Raw genomic sequence first — 19,719 nt, 5'->3', positions numbered from 1 at the left:
CGCCTCCTCTTCATCAGGCTAAATTGCTCCCCAGCTTGTGTCAAGTAACTAGGACAGAACCGGGCACTCTGGAAATGCTCAATCCTGATACAAAGCTGCTCCACTCTATGGCATCATAAATAAACGCATAAGGGTAGAGCTAAGCCGGCACCTACCACTGTATTTGGCTATTTTAGAAGAGCCTGCATTTGTTAATGCTTGCTGCGTGCTAGGAAAGGCTTCCCCTGCATTCTCGCTAATTGTTATTACTTGTGTCTTCTCATTTCACAAAGGAGGGACCACAGAGGTGAGACAGCTTGGCTAAGCTCACAGAGCAAGGCACAGCGATCGGTGAGCCAGGAGCTGGAGCTATGGCCCCAGGGTCCAGACTCTCAGCCTGGTGCTCTCTAGACTTCAGAGGGGCCACCAGTAGGTACACAGCCGGCAGCCAGGAGCTACTCGAACAAAGAAAAGCTCTGCTTCTCCTAAACACATAGAACAAGCCTCTAATCCTTGTTATTAACGTAAATAATATTCCAGCAAAGAAAGCAAACTCCCTATCTTCTCGAGGGGCTTCGGAGGATTACGTCGACAGTGTCCGACGCAGCGAGGACAATAACCAATTGACTCTTATTAAAACTCCAATAATGCTGGTATGATTGCTGCTTTGATAAGCTCGCTGCTGTGAGCGAGGGTCAACCACATTAGGAAAATGTAATTAGACTAATAAATTCCAGGCAATCCTTTTTTTTTTCCTTTCCTCTTTGCTCTAAGGAAGAGGTACTCACAAGACCTCATTACCCACACAGAGGCCCCATGGTGGGCTTTGATGCAAAAGAAAGCGGTTCTTAGACTGCCTGGGTCTGGCCCCAGAAACACCCCTCTGGGTCCCTGTAGCTCCAGAGCACGTGGGACTTACTGGTCAAATGGCAGAGGCTCCAGGGAGCTGGGAGCTAGGGATGCATGGCCAATTCCTGCTAAACATCACTGCTCCCCTCTCGTTCAAAAGGGAGCCCCCCAACCTCTTCCCACCACTATTGGGCTCCCTCTCTCCGGTCCAGCATGATCCTGCATAAACTACATCTTTGCTGAGTTTGTGTGGTCAGAATTGTGGAGCTGCCCCAACATCCCTGGTGTCAGCTTTCCCCCAAATAATGGGTGGGATCAGAAGTTATGAGGGATCCAGTATGGTGCCTTGAGATCCCAAAAGACAAGCTGCTGGGGTCTGGGGGAGAAACCGACTTTAGGAGAGGATCAACCTCACCGAAAGCCCAGAAACCTTCACAGGCCCTGAAGTGCCGAGTAACAGCCCACCTTCTGGGGTGAGGTGAGCCTTACAAGGAAGTCCCTATCTAGAAAAGACCCTCCCACCGCTCATAACTCCCGATCCAAAGTGCAGTTCATGCTGCCATAACACTAATTTTTAAAATGCGTATTTGTTCCAATGCAATCGATACATTAGGGAATAATCTGAGCATTATGCAAACTTCTCATGTGTTGATTCAGGACTTTTCCCCTAGAAACACTAGGTGAACACGGAAGACTACACCCAGCAGAGCTCAGCCTCACGGGGATACACGAAGCGCATGCACTGCACAAGGTCCACAGCGAAGGTTAGCGCTGCATCCTGTCTCCCACCACCTCCCTGTTCTCCTGCTTTCTGTCTCTGTCTCTCCTGTTCAAATGGGGAGAATGTGGCCTGTGCATGTCACTGGATTATTTGAGAAGGCAGGAAGAGGACAAGATACTTCACGAATTAAGAAAAGGACCGTGGAAGAATAGGAAAACACCCCCTCTTCCATTAGCCTTGATGGTGCTGCAAGAAACGGTGGTGACCCCAGCACCTCAGTGTCCATTTGTCCAGCCGGTGAGCACGCCCCCTCCACTGCAGCATGTCAGGAGTATCTGTCCTCTGCTTGACACCCCCAGTGACAGGCACTCAACTATGCCCAAGGCAGTCTATAGCAACTTTCAGTACCTCTAGCTGCTAGGGGCCTCGAAGCCAAAAATCTACCTCCCTGTCAATTCTGCCAATCGGGCCTGGAGGACACACCTCTGGGACAGTGCAGGACAAATCCCATCTTCCCTTCCTGGTAGTAACGGTTTATATGCTCCTTCCCCCAAACCAAGTCACCTCTTTCTGAGCCAAATATCTGACTGTCTTCAACCCGCCCTCCTGAGATAAAAAGAATAATGATAAAGATCAAGGTAATATCAGTGACTGACATTTAATAAACACATAATAGGCATTATTCTATACTAGGAGTCAGCAAACTATGGCCCACGGGCCAAATCCGGCTCACTGCCTGTTTTTATATGGCCCGAGAGCCAAGAATGGTTTTTGTATTTTTAAATGTTGAAAAAAAAAATCAGAAGAAGACTATTTTGTGACACATGAAAAGTATCTGAAATTCAAATTTCAGTGTCTATAAATAAAGTTTTATTGGAACACAGCCACGCCCATCATTTACATATTATCTATCTATGGCTGCTTTCAAGTTACAACAGCTGAGTTGCAGCGTCCGACAGAGACCATATGGCCCACAAAGCCCAAAATGTTTACAATCTGGTCTTTTACAGAAAAAGTTTGCCGCCCCTGTTCTATACGCTTTACAAGTATCATCTCAATCCTCACGATAACCTATGAGGCGGTAACTGCTGTCATCTTCCCATTACAGATGAGTTCTTAGAAGCTCAGAGATGTTAAGTAAATTACCCGCGCCCCCAGCCTCACAGCGGTGAAGCCAGGATCCAAACCCAGGCATTTGACTCCAATGTCTGTATCCTACCCACTTCCCCTATTCTTCCCGGTCAGAGCCCAGGACTGACAACTGCTATCAGCACCACAATCTCAGTGGAGCCACTTCCCTTTCCTGACTATACAGTCCATCTTGGTTTCACTGTGCATGGCGAGAATGACCAGCTCATTGGCCACTATGACCTCTAGATCCTCTTCTGCCACTACTGTCTCTCTGAGGTCTTTCCCAAACTCTGCACTGTGCATGGTAGAAATGACCAGCACATTGGCCAGTATGACCCCTAGATCCTCTTTTAAGCCTTTGGTTCCTATAGGTCTTTCCCAAGCCCACCCTTAAAAGGGCCTATAAACTCACTGCTCTCTGGATACTAAAGAAACTAATCCACGAACACCCTCCAGACTGGGGACTAAGGTAGCAGCTAATGTGATAAAGTCGGTAGCTCTTAGCCAGAGGTCTCTAAAAATTTATGAGAGACAATAAATCTTGCTCTTGGGCTGCCCACTGGCTTCAAATAAACCTGTCCTGCCCCTGATTTTGCAGGTGTAGAAAGTAGAGGTCCCTGGAACTGCTGTCTGAGTTATGAAAATCTCAAGGCCACCCTCCCTGCTTCCTTCTCTCTGAATCTACGAGGAGAGAAAAGGTAGCATACTCTGTTGCCACAGAAACTAGGCTAGGCTAAGTCTGCAGCAGGAAGGATTAAAGATAGATGTCAGGAGGAGGAAGTAATCTGGAGAGAGAGGTATAAGCACACCAATTCTACATCTCTGATTAAAGTTTCTCAAAGAGGCTTCTACCCCATTATTAACTCTGAGCTCAGATGCCAATTATAAACCACAGACCTCATCAATAAATACAAATCAACATATCTAGAAGGCAAATATTTTATTTTTATTTATACGCCTATTAAATGTAGCCATAGCTCATCTGGCTGGAGGAGACCCAAATAATCCAGACACTGCAAGCTGGTGACTCCACAGGCCAGTTTCAGGCCATGGAGCTACTATTATTGGCCTATACTATCTTTCAAAAATTTCAAATAAGTTGCTAACATTTAAAATTTCAATTATTTTGGAGCATAGTTCAGATTTCTGGATTTTCTTGAAAATAATCCAAAGATGTGGCCCAAGAAGCCCTACACAGCAACAGCTGGTTGGCCCCGAGCTGGGGTTGACTCTATGAGCTGAGCACGTGCCCACCAGGCCCCTTGTATTCCCATGCCCTCTTCTGCCCTGCGCCTGGTTTATTTCATGCCTCTGTCTCTCCTGGAGGGCCCCTGCAGGCATGTGGGCTTGTAACACCCTGCCACGATCACCACCACCCCCTTTTTACTGGTGGACAAACTGAGGCTTACAGAGAAGAACTGTCTTGCCTAACAAGAGGCAGGGAATTCGTGACAGAGCAGGTCCCCAATGTCCAGGGCAGGACTCAGCTCAGCCCTGTCTGGAAGGAAAGTCTAGAAGGTGGGTTACTATCTACCAGCTACAAACGTGTCTAAGGTGAAAATTAGATTTTTCTGCTGACTCTGATTTTGCTAGCTTTGTACCAGCTCTTTACAGAGGAAATGGAGAGAAGAGAAACAGCTCTGCAGTGACAAGGAGAAAGTCTCCCCAGACCCTCTCCCTACACTCTGCCACCCCTGCCGGCCCACAGCCATGCCCAATGTGCTCTAGGGATACTGGGGAAGGGAAGGCTGAAGGAAAAGAATCAAGGCGCTCAACAGGACAGATCAGCAGCTGCTTGACTTCACAGCTGGCGATTCTGCAACACAGACCAGTGGAGAATATTGGCCAGGCCTGGGCGACGTAGCAAGAAGCAGGACCTTCTTTGCGACTGACTCACTATGTGACTTTGTCCAAGTCACTTAACCTCTCTGACCCCCCGTCTCTTCATCTGTATAAAAGGGAAATAGCAGCATCAGTAGGTTAAACAGGCTACAACAAAGCACTATTAGTATAGTGTCAGGCACATAGGAGGGATGTCATGAAGCAGTGGACCACTCCTCCCGCTCTGCTTCCTGACACAATTACCCTCCCAAGACTACACTCCTCAGCCTGGTGTCCAAAGACATCTTCAGCCTGCAGCTCCAGCCTCACTCCCCACTCCCTAGCAGTGAGTCAGCAACTCTGCCCCTCACCTCCACCAAACCCAGCCTCCAGGCCTTCGCCCCTGCAGTGAGCCTGACTCAGAGCTCCATTCCCCAAACGCCCCTCCTATTCCAGGCAACCCAGCCCTAGAGGCCCAGCCGGATCACTGTGTCCAAAACTTCCCCAGACCTGGGAACCCCTCTGCACTCTGAGCCCAGCCCGTTCACTGGCTCAGAGGAACTCGGTCCTGTACTTTAACATTCCATTTGATGATATCCTCCATCCTTAGCATCTTAAAAGACCAAAACACAGCTCACATGTGTGGCTCTTCTAGGGTACAGGAGGTACTTGTAGCAGCCAAGTGCCCAGCCTCTCTTCTTCTGACACCAGCACCCCAAAATTCCTTTCCAGGAGTGATCCTCTCCCCAAACTGCAGTCTTGGCAGGACTGTTGAACATGAGCCCTGCACACTGCCAGGCCAGGCCTCGCCACAAGGTCAAATCCCCACCAGTTAGGTCCCCTCTCTCTGGGTACATGGATTTCCAGTCTTGCAAAATTCTCAAGCTGGCTGGAGCCACCCATCCTGGTGGGGTCCCCAGAGGGCCTTGAGCAGATCTTGCTAGAAACACCACCCACCCACCCCCACCTGCCCGCCACCCTATTCCCAACCAGAGTTAGCTGGGTTCCCACCTTTTCCCAGCCAGTCTTTTGGCCCAACTTCAGATACAAGAGTTTCCTTCTGATGATTCCTTTTCTGCTGCAGTTGGCCAGAGGCAATTTCTATTGCTTACACACACGGAGCCCTGACTGATTCTCTAAAACCCCACATCACATATATGCTCACCCCTGCCCCCCAGGACTGAACCCACAGACACCCAGTCCCACCAGAGGGATTCACGAGCACCCATTCTGCACACCCAGGGAGGCTGGGGCCTCATGCTTTCGAGAAAAGCCACACTGCCACCTGCTTGAGTAACGCAGTGTCATTCCTCCCGTGTCAGCAGTCACGGCATCAGACTGAGCCGAGAAGCCAAGCAGGGACATTGTCTCGTGTGAAATAAGTAAATAAAGGCAACAATGAGACATAACTGAGCAGGCAACACATAAAGCAGGTATTTCTGCAGATGCCAAAAATAATAATAAAGCACCTATGGAGGATAAACATGGTGAGCACTGATCTACAGTCAATACCCAAAAAGCAAAGGGCTTACTGCGCACCAAATAACCACTGGACAAGGCAGCCACAAAAGAGCAGTGCCCGGGAGCCATGCACCCAGCCACGGGCTTAGACAAGGCCAAACTCAACCCCCAGGAGAGCAGGGAAGGTCTTAGCCGGGAGAGAAGGATGTGCAGACGTCAGTCCGGGAGGAAAGGGAAGAGAGCGATATCTAAGAAGAGACTCTTTAGAAGCACCCTGAGGCTAAGTTGCCAGCATCGTCTCACCCCTGTACCACAGGGACGGCCCCCACACTGGCCCCCCTGCCTCCGCCTCATCCCCCGGCTCTGTCTCCAGCAGCGAAGTCGGATCCTATCATCCGATGCAACCCCAGCATCTCCTCACTCTTACCGTTCTGACCTCACCTCCTGATGCCCTCCTCACTGTTTCCAGAGCAGGCCTCCACAGTCCCACCGCAGGGCCTTTGCAGACGCTGCTCTCTGCCTGGAACCCCTTCTTCATGATGCTCACCCGTCTCGCTTCCCCCTCAGGTGTCTGCTTCCCCCGTCCCTGACCACTGTGGCCAAAGTCACCTTCTTCATCACTCTCTGTTCCCGTTCCATTCATTGTTCTCCATAGTTCTCCCAACCTGAAACCACATTCATCATCTGCATATCTTGTCTCCCCCAACTAGAATGGAACTGCACGGGGGCAAAACTTTGTCTGTTTTGCCCAGGACTGAATCCTCAGCACCTAGAACAATGGTCAGTACATAATAGATTCATTCATTCATTCATTCAACCATAGCTTAGGAATGAATGAACAAATGAACACCCCTGAGAAAAAAATGCAGTAAGTTCCAGGAATTATGGCTTTCTAGATGATTTATATGGCAGTATGGTCAAAGCTTGGTCTCTGAAGACTACGTGGGTTCCAATCCCAGCTCCATCACATTATGGCTCCCAGTCCTGGGCTAAATATACCCTCTCTGGGCATCAGTTTCCTCATCTGTAAAGTGGGGATAATCACAGCCCCCACCACAGTGGGCTTCAGGGAGGAATAAATGCATTAACACATGGCAAGTCAATTAGGACGGTGCCTGACAGGCTGTCAGCGCCCAAGGTTGTGACTTTTGCTTTTGCTATTGCTACTCTGCAACCAACTTTAGATAGTGGTAGAATAATCAGGAGGCCCTCTTGAATGGGATATTTGCACAGAAGAGGTCCCAGACCGAGTGTGTGTGACATGGGAGCAGAAGACCCGGGTTTGAGCCAGGCTCTGCCACTCATACGCTGTACAATTTCAAGGAATGCACAAGTTCTCTGCCGATTAAGTCAGGGCCAAAGTACCAGTCCCAGCCTCACGAGGCTGCTACAAGGCTCCAGATTGGATCAGGGATGTGAACACAATTTTGGGAAGACAGGGGAGTGAATCAACACATCACATCTATTAGTCACTACATTTGCAAAGCAGCCAAAGTCAAAAAGCCAGGGTTCAGAGGTCCCACCTCCATCACAGCCGTGGAGCACCCAGATGCCTTTGGAGACATCAGCAGTGCTTTCAAAGCCTCAATTACAAGGGCTGGGAGTGTCACAGGGTGTCATTGCTTCTCACATTTTGGTCACAATATCATCCAAAGGCTGAGGGTGACACTGGGAAAATTACAGTAATTACTCTGCAGGAGGGCAGGCCACAGGAAGTTGGCTGCTCTAAAACCTGGGGTGAGATTTAACTCCCTGGGAGTTGAGAGAGGTCTCGAGGGAACCTCTGCCTCACATCCTAGGACCCGGGAAATGGCGCCCATGCCAGATGTAATGAACCCACAGCTCATCAAACCAGGCAGGCAGGAAAGCCTGGTGGGTAAGAGCACAGATGTCAGGTCAGACCAGTCAGCTCTGCCCTGCAAGGGGCCAGACATTGTCCTGAGAGACCTCACATTCCGGGGAGTGGAGACAGATCGTGAATAAGTGAGTGAATCAGACATTTATAGAGAGCCGGGTGACGTGCTACGAGGGAGCAACAATGACATCATGTGTGGAATGGAGCCAGGGCTCTGGTCAGACCTCTTAAGAGGGGAACCCTGAGCTGAGACCTAAGAGATGCTACATAGCCTGCCATGGAGAGGGGCTTGGGCACGTTACCTCACTTTCCTGGGCCTCGGTTTCCTCACCTGTCAAATGGGTATGTTATCACACCAACTCCATATGGTTATTGCGAGTGTCTGATGAGTTAATGTGTAAAAAGCACAGGGTCCTGTCTGTAGGTAGAGCTCAAGCAGAGGTGGTTTGGAGGCAAGGAGTGGGGGACAGTGCGGCCTCCATGCCAGGCACTCTCCTAGGCACCAGGACACCACAGTGAACTAAGGCAGATAAAAATCCCTGCCCACGTGGAGGTTACTCTTTAGTACACTTGGCCTGGACAGCCAAGTTGACATGTTTCTCTTCCTTCAGGCCCACCACACTCAGGGACCCAGAGGAGGAAGGCCAGCCCCAACCTGCTCCACACAGCCCCAGACCCGGTGATCGCTGCCTGCTCATCTCAAAGAAGGAAGCGTCCAGCACCTCCAGTTGGTACCATCTCCCCACAAGCTGGATTCCAGCAGCATCCCTTCCAACTCCACTCTGGCTGGAGCCCCCAACCGCTGCACAGTTGGCACCTGGGACTTGTGCATCATGGTGGCTTTACCTGGGTGGATTCCAACATCTGGTGTCTATACAGCCCCCCTACCCAGATCCGGGGGCCCCAAGTCATGTGCCATCTTGAGCCACTAGGCAAGGGCACAGAGAGCCAGCGACCAGGCCATCTCCAAGGGAGGCTAAATGGAGAGATGGAAAGGGAGACACTGCAGCCTGTTAACACATCAGTTTCTGCGTGAACTCCCCCGGGGAGCCAGGCAGGCAACGCTGGAGGAACGCGGGCCTCAAGACAAGTGGAATTTCTTTTAAAGAAATATTCAGCTATTAAAACCCAGGCTCTCAGGCCACATCAGGCATGCCAAGTGGGGCTGGAGGATCATCAACAGCGTGGGGGCGACACAAGGAGGACGAGGCTGAACCCAATAGGCATCAGGATGAGAGATGCTGTGGGGGGGTGCCCAGAAGCTTAGGCTGCTGAAGTCACAGCATCACCAACCCCACCTCCAAGGGTACCCAGGACTGGAAGCTGCCTGTCAGAACCTCGTAGCATTCCTGACCATGCCTAACAGAGCAATAAGAAGAAACATTGGGCTGGAAAGAAGTGAACCCCCAGTTTTCAGGCTGACTTTATGACCAGTCCCCCCTGGCTTGCCCACTGGTGTTCATCCAAGCTTTATAGAGAGCCAACTATGTGCCAGGCATGGAGCTTGAGGGTGTCTCAACCTGAGCACTGTTGACATTTGAGGCAGGATGACTGTCTGCAGCAGGGGCCGGCCTGTGCACTGCAGGATACAGAGCAGCTTCCCTGGCCTCTACCCACCCCTTGCGTCACACCTAAGGCCAGCCCCACTGTCAGCCGGGAACTGGACCATAGCTGCCCACCAAGGGAAGGGACCAGCCAGAGGCTTCTGCCTCCATGAAAGCACCAGCACCCCCACCCCCACCCCCACCGGGGTTTCCCGAGCCCTGCTCAGCTCAACACAGAGCTGCTTTCCAACCTTTGCTATTCTTGTCTGGGACATATTATCAAAAATAATGATTATCATGATAGAAGGCACTAGATCAATCATTGTCCCAGTTAGCCCATTTAGTAAATGGGAAGCTGAGGCTCAGACCTGCTGAGTCATCAGCCGGTAAAGCATGGAGCTCCATCGCAACCCCTGTTTCCAGAGGGCCAACCCCTGTTTCCCGAGGGCGGAAGCCCCCACTGCACACTCACAAAACCTGTCAGCCCCAAGGCTCCCAACCGCTCATCCTTTTCTGCAGGGGGAGGGAATGGGGGAGAAAAGACTAAGGAACATTTTGCCATAAGCCTTCCCCTGCCCTAGGTGCCACTAAAACTCAGAAATCCTGGCAACCCTCTCATGGAGAGCACCTGCGGCTAATGAGGAATAGGATGGGGAAGACGTAATGAGCTGCTTACAAAGGCTGTGGAGCCAGCAGGGGGATCTGCAGCCCTCCAATTCGTCAGAACCTCCTTCCAGGCTGGAGGCAGGGGACACGGGGAGGGGCCGAGGGTCCCGCAGAAGTGGGGAAAAGGGTTGAGGGACCCACTCCACCCCGAGTTTGAGATGGGAAAGCCATGGAGGTCACATATTATGACTAAGAGGGAACCAGGGATGCCAGCACCTCCGGGGAGGCTTTCTAAAGACCACACCCCAAAGCACCCCCACGCTACCCCGTCACTTGACTCTACGGTCTGAAAGCGAGGTCAGAGGAGCGTTGGGCCAGCTCGGGGCCAACACAGGGGTGCATCAACACAGCCCCCACACACTCCCGCTCCCCAGCCCACCTGGTTTTAAACAACGTGAAACCCAGACAGAATGAATCCCTCAGCACGATAGAAGCCATCCAAAGACAGAAATTCCATAGCTGTCCCAGAGCCCACAGTGTCTGGGGACCCGCAGGCCAGGCTCTTTCATTGCAGGATGAAATGAAAATTCCCAGAGACCTAGGCTACTCTGGCCCAAAGGTCTCAGTCCAAGAGACATCAACTTGCCACGGCAAGGTAAGCACTTCCCCACCGCTTCTCCTAGCCTGGCCCCAAAAGGCGAACGAGGAATCAGAGGCCTGGGGTCCCCCTCTCTCACACACACTCATTCCATTATTGCGCGGGCCCCACCAGGCAGCCCTACCACCCCCATGGACGCAGAGGAAAACTGAGTCCCCGGGAGGCCACGCAGAAAGCGCCAGAGGTGGGAGCCCCTCCACTGCCACCTGGGGCCCACAGCTCAGGAGTCACCGGGGAACAAGGCCTTGGGGGGCGGGGGGCACCAAGGAGAAGACCACCCACACAGGCCACAACCTGACCAGAGAAGCTTGGTTTTTCCTGCAGCCCCACCACAAACGCCAGCCCCTGGGCTCCCACCTGCAGCCCAACCCCCTGGGGTTCGATATCGGGGACCAGGGGCTCCAGACACAGTGCACAACCACTGCCAAACAGTCACACTCAAGCTGCCTGGCCGAGAGAAAGGGACCCACGGTGAGACCTACCTGCCTGGAGGTGAGCCAGAGCCTCAGGAAGACTGAATTCGGATGGCTCCCGGCCCAGGTGTGAGCCTTTTAACAGCTGACTCTCGGTCTGAAAGCGTAGCCACAGCACCTGGGCCTCTGGTTTTAAATGGCCCAGGGGGTGGGGCCTGGTCTGTGCTTGATGGGGTGGTGGTCAGGGGAGGAACAGAAAGTAGCCATCCTTCCTTTCTGCGTGGACCAGCGACAAGACCCCTGGCCTAGCAGTCAGTGGACCTGCCACGAATTTGCTGCACGACCTCAGAGTCTCAGGCCCCGGAGCCCTATATCTGAAGGCTCGGACTCTCTGGGATGGGATTATTCGTCTCCACCCTGGGTCCCGGGAACTCAGTTATGCCGGACTCCAGGCAGAATTTCCAGCACCAACCATCTCACGGCTCTCCCCAGCTACCAGGAGGCCACATTTGCTCCCAAGTGGTCTTGTTCTCAGTATCTTGAGTAAGGTGAAGGTTAGGGGTTGGCCTTTTAAAGCCACATTCCTCCAAGAAGGCAGGAGCATCTGGGATCCAGGTGACCTCAGGTGAGCGCATGGACCCCCGAGACCTTCCCACCTGAGATGAGGAGAAACCCACGATGTGATCTCCTTCCCTAGATGCTGGAGGCATTAGAGCTAAGTCATGTGTTAAGAACAGGGCCGGGCGCGGCAGCTCACGCCTGTAATCCCAGCACTTTGAGAGGCCGAGGAGGGCGGACCACCTGAGGTCGGGAGTTCGAGACAAGCCTGGCCAACATGGTGAAACCCCGTCTCTACTAAAAATACAAAAATTAGCTGGGCGTGGTGGTGGGTGCCTGTAATCCCAGCTACTTGGGAGGCTGAGGCAGGAGAATCACTTGAACCCAAGAGGCAGAGGTTACAGTGAGCTAAGATCACACCACTGCACTCCAGCCTAGGTGAAACAGCGAGACTCAGTCCCAAAAAAAAAACAGAACAAGTTTGGGCCCACATACCCAAAAGCCTGCCTTCCCCGTGTTCCTTCGGTAATTAATTGTCCCACTTTAAAGTCGAAGCTATGAAGACCCAGCAAGATTACCTGGGCGGATCACACAGAGTCTGTGCCAACAAGAGCCTGGCCCAGGGAGACCACTTCCTGCATCCTGTAAGCGGCCCAGCTCAGTCCCCGGAGGTAGGAGGGAAGCAGGTAAAGCAGAAACATGCATTTATTAAGTCACTGCTGCATGCCAGGCACTGCGCTAGGCCCTTTGGCATCTAAGATCTTTCTAAATGCCACAGTGGCCAAGCACAGTGGCTCACACCTGTAATCCCAGCACTTTGGGAGGCCGGGAGGGCTGCTTGAGCCCAGGAGTTTGAGACCAGCCTGGGCAACATAGCAAGACCTTGTCTCTACCAAAAAAAAAAAAAAAAAAAAATTAAGCCGCAATGACCCCTGTCCCCGAGTTTGCATAGGGTAGCTCCTCTTTCCTCCCTCTGCAGTGAAGCACCCACCCCCACCAGTCTGGCCACATTCTGGGCCCAGAGAGGGATAGGGACCTGGCTCCCTCCAATAAGGACTTGTGCTACCTTATTTAAACGTCACTGCCGCACATAATTAGAGGCACTTACCCCCTCGGATCCATCTTTCTCCTCAGATCGGTTTTATAGCCAGTAATAACTCTCGTAAATTCTTCAACAGATGGAAATTTTATTTGACTAATCATGGCCGCTTGACTTGCTGGGGCACAGCAGCTCGGGGCTTGGACAGGCAAGATGCCAGCTGAGGTGATTGTCAGGGGGCTGGGCAAAGTGCCCAGAACCCAAGGCCACCTTGTCCACCCACTCCTCTGAGGGATGCCACAAGAAGGCATCAGAAAGTGCCCAGCACTGCACAGCAACGGGCAGCTGTGCCCCACCTTCTAGGTCCAGAGTTGTCTCTAAGCAGGGCACCAAGACCCTTTGCCACCCCCCTGGGCTCTTGGACTGTGAACACATAATGGCTAGCACCAGGGGGAAGCTAGGACATCCTGCCTGAAACACCTAAAAATGGCAGTCCTGTTGGCTGCAACCACTGTGCATCTGCTCCATGCCAGCCCCATGCCAAGTGCCCCTCATGCTTCATCCCACTCAGTCCTGCCAACGATCCTATGCACGCCTGTGAAAAACCCATTTCACAGTTTAGGAAAAAGACAATGGAGCAAAGTCCCACACCAAGTCACCAGTTTGAGCTGCCACCCTCATCTGGGGAATTGAAGACTGGCATCTCCCCTCCCATTCACTCCTTCTAAGACCCACATCGAATCCATCAGTGTTACTTAAAATAGACCCACAAAACTTCCAGCAGCTCCTCAGCACCCTCTAGACAAATTGAAAGCCCTGTGGCCTGGCCTTCCCAAAGGAACCTCATTCGAGGTATTTATCCAAGAGATATGAAAACGCATAACACAAAAAAGCCCATCCACTCAAGAATACACATCACAGATTATTCATAATAGCCCCAAATTGGAAATGTCCACAGGAAAACTGTGGACAAACTGTGGCCAGTATGCACAATGGGCATCACTCTGCATCCTATTAGGAGGGGGAAGCTGCGCAGTCATTTGAATAGGTAAGTTTCATATAAAGGATTATTAACCATAATGGGAGGTGGAATTAACAAGAAACTGGCTAGAAAGTAAAGGGAACTCTGAAGAATATAGGTTTAGGAGACAAAAGGAGCAGCTGCTGCCCCCCAGGGCTGAAAGAGACCCTCAGAAGCAAAAGTCCCCCACCCCACCCAGTGCTGAGCTAGAGTATCAAGCAAACGCACCTTCTCTAGGGCTGACATCCAGCCCTCAAGGAAGAGGCTTCTACTCCAGCGTTATGGCAGAGCCCCTAAAGAACAGTTCTTCAACCTGAGCTGACAGAGTGCCCAAGGAGGAGCCTCCACCCAGAAACAAGCATCCTCCCACAAACACCCCTGAGGGCTGATATCCAGGCCTTGCTGAAGAGGGTATGGCTGTGCCTCACTACATTGGGGGAGAAAAAAAGTTGGTCTGGTGCACACCAGCAGAACTTGCAAGAAAGCCAACCTGTAGAACTTACCAGAAATCTGCCCCGCAGGGTGCCACAAAAGCTGCTCACAGGAGGTGTCTCACCAGAGGCACCCACTACAAAACTGCCTAAAATAAGGTGCTGCTGGCCTCTGCTGAGCACGGCAGCAGCCAGCACTGAGCGGCACGTGCTGCAGGAGCAGGCCCTGTGAGCACGTGGCAACCAGGAAGCAGAAGGTCCCTGCTGCAGAGGCTCCTCGGCGCCCTCTACTGGCAAAGCCCAGCTTGCTGCCTGGACAGGGAGAAAATTTAAAGGGCCCAGATCCATTTTCACCAGGCAGGCAAGAAGGGTGATTGGACACAGAAAAGCAATAATTGATAACCAGAAAAGCCCATCTCTTTGACTACTTAGCTTCCATATGAATCCTCCTGCACACCACTGAAGTCCTGTACAACAACACAACTGCGTATTTCTATCTAAAAAGATGCAGCTATCATCCTTGTAAGTTCTCACTCACTCCCCAAAACAAGGAGACTAATAGGCCCAGGAGTCGTCATGGACTATATTTATTAGGACTTAAATACCGATCACAGTTCCATGGAACATTCTGTCACCTAAAGACTATAAAGTCGACTTCCAAAAACTTGCATATAAAACAAAAATGGGAAGAAGAGAGAAGAAAATGGATAATTACCAAGTGTGCTTACTCTAATTGTTTATTCAGGAGCTCAGAAAATAACTTCGGGGTGGGCATGGACCAAGCAAATCTACTGAGAGTCAGACTACAGCTAAGACTCTATCCCTGACCATCACAAGCCCCACTTTGACTTATGAGCCAGAGTGGCATTTTAGATCCCCAGGAAACAGCATCAGTTCAGAGTTAGTGCCAAGTAACTCCAGAACTGTCTGGGTATGTCCATTTCCCTATTATTTTGGTAAATGGTCACAGGTCCCTTTGGAGGAAGGTTTGGAGGAAGATTTACAATAAGTATTTATGGCAATGATGCAGGCTCCTTCCTCAAGGGGACCCGGCCACCCAGGGATTCTGGGTCTGTGAATTGACTTAGGGTCTGGAAACTGAATGAGAAGCCATGACTATCAATTGCCAGGTTTTGGCTACCGGGCCTAGAACTTTCTATCACATATAAAAATACATGAAATAATACTCTAGTAGGCTGCCCACTTATTTCATTCCCAGAGACACTCTAATCAATTCACCACCACTAGAAATCCCTGTGGGCAAAGGCATTCTGCCTTCCCATACATTCCTGCTACCCTCTCCAATGTGTGCCCACCTTGTCCTTGACAGTGAAGTGCTGCCCCTCGGTATCTGCTACTCCAGGACCCCCTTATCCCCACTGAAATCAGGGAGCCCATCTCAATGGAGGCAGCCTCTATATTCACAGTGGCCTACAAAAGAGAGCAGCCACTGTGCATTTCAAGGACAAAGGGGCTCCCTCACTAATGGATCTCTCTATGTCTCTGTCTTTGGGTCCTTCTTGTGGAACATAGGTGGTGGCAGCAGGGGAGTGCAGATTAGACATGATACATGCAGTCCAACATTGCGGTCTCCCCAAGCCTTTGGATTCCCTCTTCCACATCATGACATCACAACCCTCATTAACTGCAGGTTACTGTCAAGTCCAAGTTTCAGTCAACCAACCAAGCTGTTAGAGCCACCTCCAGCTGCAGAAGCTAACAGCCAAATTCAGAACCTCTAATGAGTGTGCCCGTATCAATGCATCCAGCCCAGGCTAGTGTTACATTCTGCCTTCCTGGATCTAAAACCCTTAGAATCCACTCCCATACATGTCACCAGTCTTGTCGTTCTTTTTCTGTTTCCTCCTAGGTCTGTGTATACCCGCCACCGTGGAACATGCTGAGATCTGACCACAGCTAGGGGCTAGTGACAACAGCAGGTGGCTGTGATGAGTCTTGAGAACAGCATCTGCTCCAGCCGAGATTATCACAGGGTTTCTTAACAGAGAAAAAGCAGTCTCCTCCAGCACTGCGGAGGGAAAGGTATTTCCACTTGATAAGTTGGGGTGGGGGTGGGGGGGGTGGGCTCAGAGTGACTTGCAGTTTAGATTGTCAGTTTCATCAGAGTCCAACAACTGCCCCCATTCCATGTTTCAGGACCCCATTCTTTCACGATTCATGCCCTAATTTGTCCAGATGTGATTCCAACTGTTGTCATAATTCAGCAACCAGCACAATTAAATTTTTTGTTTTATTTTCAGCAGTCTCAGCCTTGTGGCTGCAAGAAATAAGAACTTCCTTAAGGGCTGCCATGGAAGCTGTCTGATTCTCAGACTGTGGCTCGAAGGAAGAGTTAATGGACCTGGGCTTGTCATTTTCTATGTCATTATCTACACATTTTTCAAATTCTTATTATATTATTATTTTTTAGAGCTAGGGTCTTGCTCTGTCACCTGGCTACAGTGCAGCGGTGCAATCATAGCTTACTGCAGCCTCAAACCCCTGGGCTCAAGCAATCCGCCTGCCTCAGCCTCCCAAAGTGTTGGGATTAAAGGCCTGAGCCACCATGCCTGTGCCCGGCCTGCCTATGTATGTTTTAAATAGAGCATAGTATCTGGTTCCTTGAAGACAGGAGCCCTCAAAAGGATCCATCCCACCCCACAGTTCTCACAGTCCTCATTATGGCCACACAGTCAAGTGCAGCATCACTCTGGCTCCCAACAGACGTGCCTCAGGTGGCATTTTGTCTTAACCGCAAATGATAGACTCATATAATGTCACCACATGCCTTGGGTAACTAGCACCCCATTTCCCATTGGCAAGGAACTTGACACTACACCCAAGCCCAAAATCACCAGAAAACCACTCCCAAAATGGTACCTCTGTGGTTCCATCTCCTGATACCTATTCCTGACACCAATTCTGTATCAGTTTGGGTCCAGTCAAGGAAAGGACACCATACAGTGATTTTTACAGGGAAAGTTTCATATGAAGAATTATTAACTTATAATAGAGAACTGAATTAACAAGAAATTGACTGATAAGGAGTAAAGAGAACGATAATTAATACAGAAACAGCAGACGCAAGGAGCAACCACAACCCACAGAGCTGAGATGGAGTCTCTGAAGACCAGACCCCATCCAGAGCTGTGATAAACAACCCCCCGCTAAGAATCCCCCAAACCAGAGCTGGACAAAGCTCTCAAGGAAGAACCCCTCAAGGCCAAGGTAGAGTCCCCAAGAAAGAGCCCCTGGGGGCTTTCATAGGTTCCCCAAAGATAAGTCCCCCACTAGAGGTTTAAAAAAAAGTTCCCAAGAAGAGGCCCCCAGGGCTGAGGCCCCCTGGGAAGAGCCCCTATTCAAGGGATAAGATAGAGCCCCAAAGAAGAGCTCCCAGAGCTACCAAGGAAGGGGCCCCCTACCCAGGGCTGTGATTGATCCCCCAAGGAAGAGTCCCCTCCGAAGGCTGAAATAAAGTCCACAAAGAAAAAGCCCCTGAGGGCTGCGGTAGAGTCCCGAAGAGACACCCTCCTGCCACCTGTGACAGAGTAAACGTCCTCAAAAAAAGAGCCCTCCCAGGGCTGACGTGGAGCCCCCAAGGAACAGCCCCCCACCCCAGGACTGAAATAGAGCCCCAAAAAGAGACCCCCATATCAGGCTGAGATAGAGACCTCCAGAAAGAGCCCCTCACCCCAGGGAAGGGACCCTCCACCAGGCTGAGATAACCCCCTCCAGGCGGTGCCCCCACAAGGGGCTAAGCTTGGGCCCCCAAGGAAGGGCCCCCAGTCCCACACATGTGGCTGAGGTACAGCCGCTATGGAAGAGTCTCCTCCAAAAGCTGAAATCAAGTCCCTAAGGAAAAGCCCTTGGTCTGAGGTAGAGCCTGTCACTCCCCAACCCCACAAAGAAGTGCCCCACACACAAACCCTTGGGGGCTGACAGCCAGGCCTTGCTTAAGAGGGCATGGCTGTGCCACAGGAAGGACAAAAAAAAAAAAAAAAACAGTCAGGGGCCACAACCAGCCAAAGTTAGAAATTCAACTTTTAGAACGTACCAGAAATCTGCCCTGTAAGATGCCACAAAAGCTGCTCTCAGAAACAGTGTCTCACAAGAGGCACCCACTGCAAAACAACTTGAAAGGGGTGCTGTGTGAGCTGCCGAACTCAGCTGCACACTGCAAACGCCTGCACGAGAGCGGCTGCACGTGGTGCCGCAGCCTACTCTGTGAGCACGTGGCAAGCAGGAAGCGGAACCTCCCCGCTGCTGGGGCTCCCCAGCGCCCTCTACTGGCAAAGCCCAGCATGCCTGCTGGCCAGGGAGAAAATTTAAAGGGCCCAGATCCATTTTTACCAAGCAGGCAAGAAGGGTGAATGTGGAGCGGAGAGGCAATAATTTGACAACCAGCAACAATGAAATATCAGCAGTGAAAAAGAAAATAACTACTGATACATAAAACAAATGCATTAATCATATACGTATTATGCTGAGTAAAAGAAACCAGACGCAAAGCAGCACAATCTGTAAGTTTCCATTTACATTATGCACAAAATTCTCTGAAAAGAAATTTAGAGGAAAGAGACTTTAGTACAGAAAACAGTTTGCAAACTTGGAGATGCACCCTCCACTGGAAAATGAAGGGGAGTTCCCAAGAATGAGGGAAGCATCAAGTTTTGCGCAAAAGTTCCTGCCCAGGTTCCCAATCAGATCAAGATGTGCAAATGAAGGATTGAAACTTGCTTAGTTCTGATTGGTCAATATAGCTGAGCTCTCATTGGTTGATACAGCCAAACCCTGATTGGTTTATACACTTGAGCCCTGATTGGTTGGTTCAGGTGAGCTGAGAAAGTACCAAAGATAAAAAGGTGCAGGTTTTCTGGGGAAGTCAGGGTAGTTGTGTAACCATAGTCAGCAAGTGGCTGCTTCATTCTATTTTAAATTTAGGCCCACTTACCCATTCTTATTTGGGGGGGGGGTAGTATTTATTTATTTTGTAGAGAACAGGGTCTTGGTATGTTGCCCAGTCTGGTCGTAAACTCAGGGGCTCAAGTGATCCGCCCACCCTGGCCTACCAAAGTGATGGGATTACAAGCAAGAACAGCGGAGCCTAGCCCACTTAGCCACTCAGGATCCATCTTGAAGGTCTGGCCCTTTCAGGTTCACATTTGTTCACAGAAGTTCAAGAACAGGCAAAGCAACCTACAGTGACAGAAATTAAAAAAAAAAAAACAGGTGGAGATGGGTGTATTTAGCTGGAAGAGGGCACAATGGAATTTTCTAGGGCAATGGAAATACTCTCTATTGCAATTGGGGTGCTGTATACATTTGTAAAAATTCATCATACTGAACACTAAGATCTGTGTGTTGCATTGTAGATAAATTATACCTCAATTTTTAAAAATTAGCCCCCAAACTTGGTTTCAAATCCAGTCACTGTGTACTACCTGTACACAGTGGGTGATATGGTTTGGCTTTGTGTCCTCACCCAAATCTCACCTTGTATTTTAATAATCCCCACGTGTCAAGGGTGGGGCCAGGTGGAGATCATTGAATCATGGGGGCTGTTTGCCCCATACTGTTCTCATGATAGTGAATAAGTCTTACGAGATCTGATGGTTTTATAAACGGGAGTTCC

At 50.6% G+C, this 19,719-nt stretch overlaps 1 protein-coding gene across 2 annotated transcripts in view, besides 1 other annotated feature; it reads right to left on the bottom strand.

Moving 5' to 3' along the window:
• The window catches only part of ACTL8 (actin like 8), a 71,731-nt gene extending 53,418 nt beyond the window's left edge, over nucleotides 1-18,313 (bottom strand). The window contains exon 1 of one of the 2 annotated variants that reach the window (NM_030812.3): nucleotides 18,142-18,313. The gene's annotated coding sequence lies outside the window, so the exon portion shown is untranslated. Of the gene's footprint in view, nucleotides 1-14,159; nucleotides 14,318-18,141 lie in introns of those variants that run through there. The other variant, XM_011542212.3, reaches the window with a different exon arrangement.
• Nucleotides 5,021-5,587: an enhancer, noted in NCBI's record as "H3K27ac-H3K4me1 hESC enhancer chr1:18094554-18095120 (GRCh37/hg19 assembly coordinates)". NCBI's record gives its function as "activates a minimal SCP1, AML or CMV promoter by ChIP-STARR-seq in naive H9 embryonic stem cells {active_cell/tissue: H9 hESC(naive)}" and the evidence as "EXISTENCE:reporter gene assay evidence [ECO:0000049][PMID:30033119]".
• Nucleotides 18,314-19,719: the final 1,406 nt, after the last annotated feature.

Source organism: Homo sapiens, chromosome 1, assembly GCF_000001405.40.
Source record: "Homo sapiens chromosome 1, GRCh38.p14 Primary Assembly".
In the NCBI taxonomy this organism is placed as follows: Eukaryota; Metazoa; Chordata; class Mammalia; order Primates; family Hominidae; genus Homo; species Homo sapiens.
This window is presented reverse-complemented; position numbering and strand designations above follow the sequence as displayed.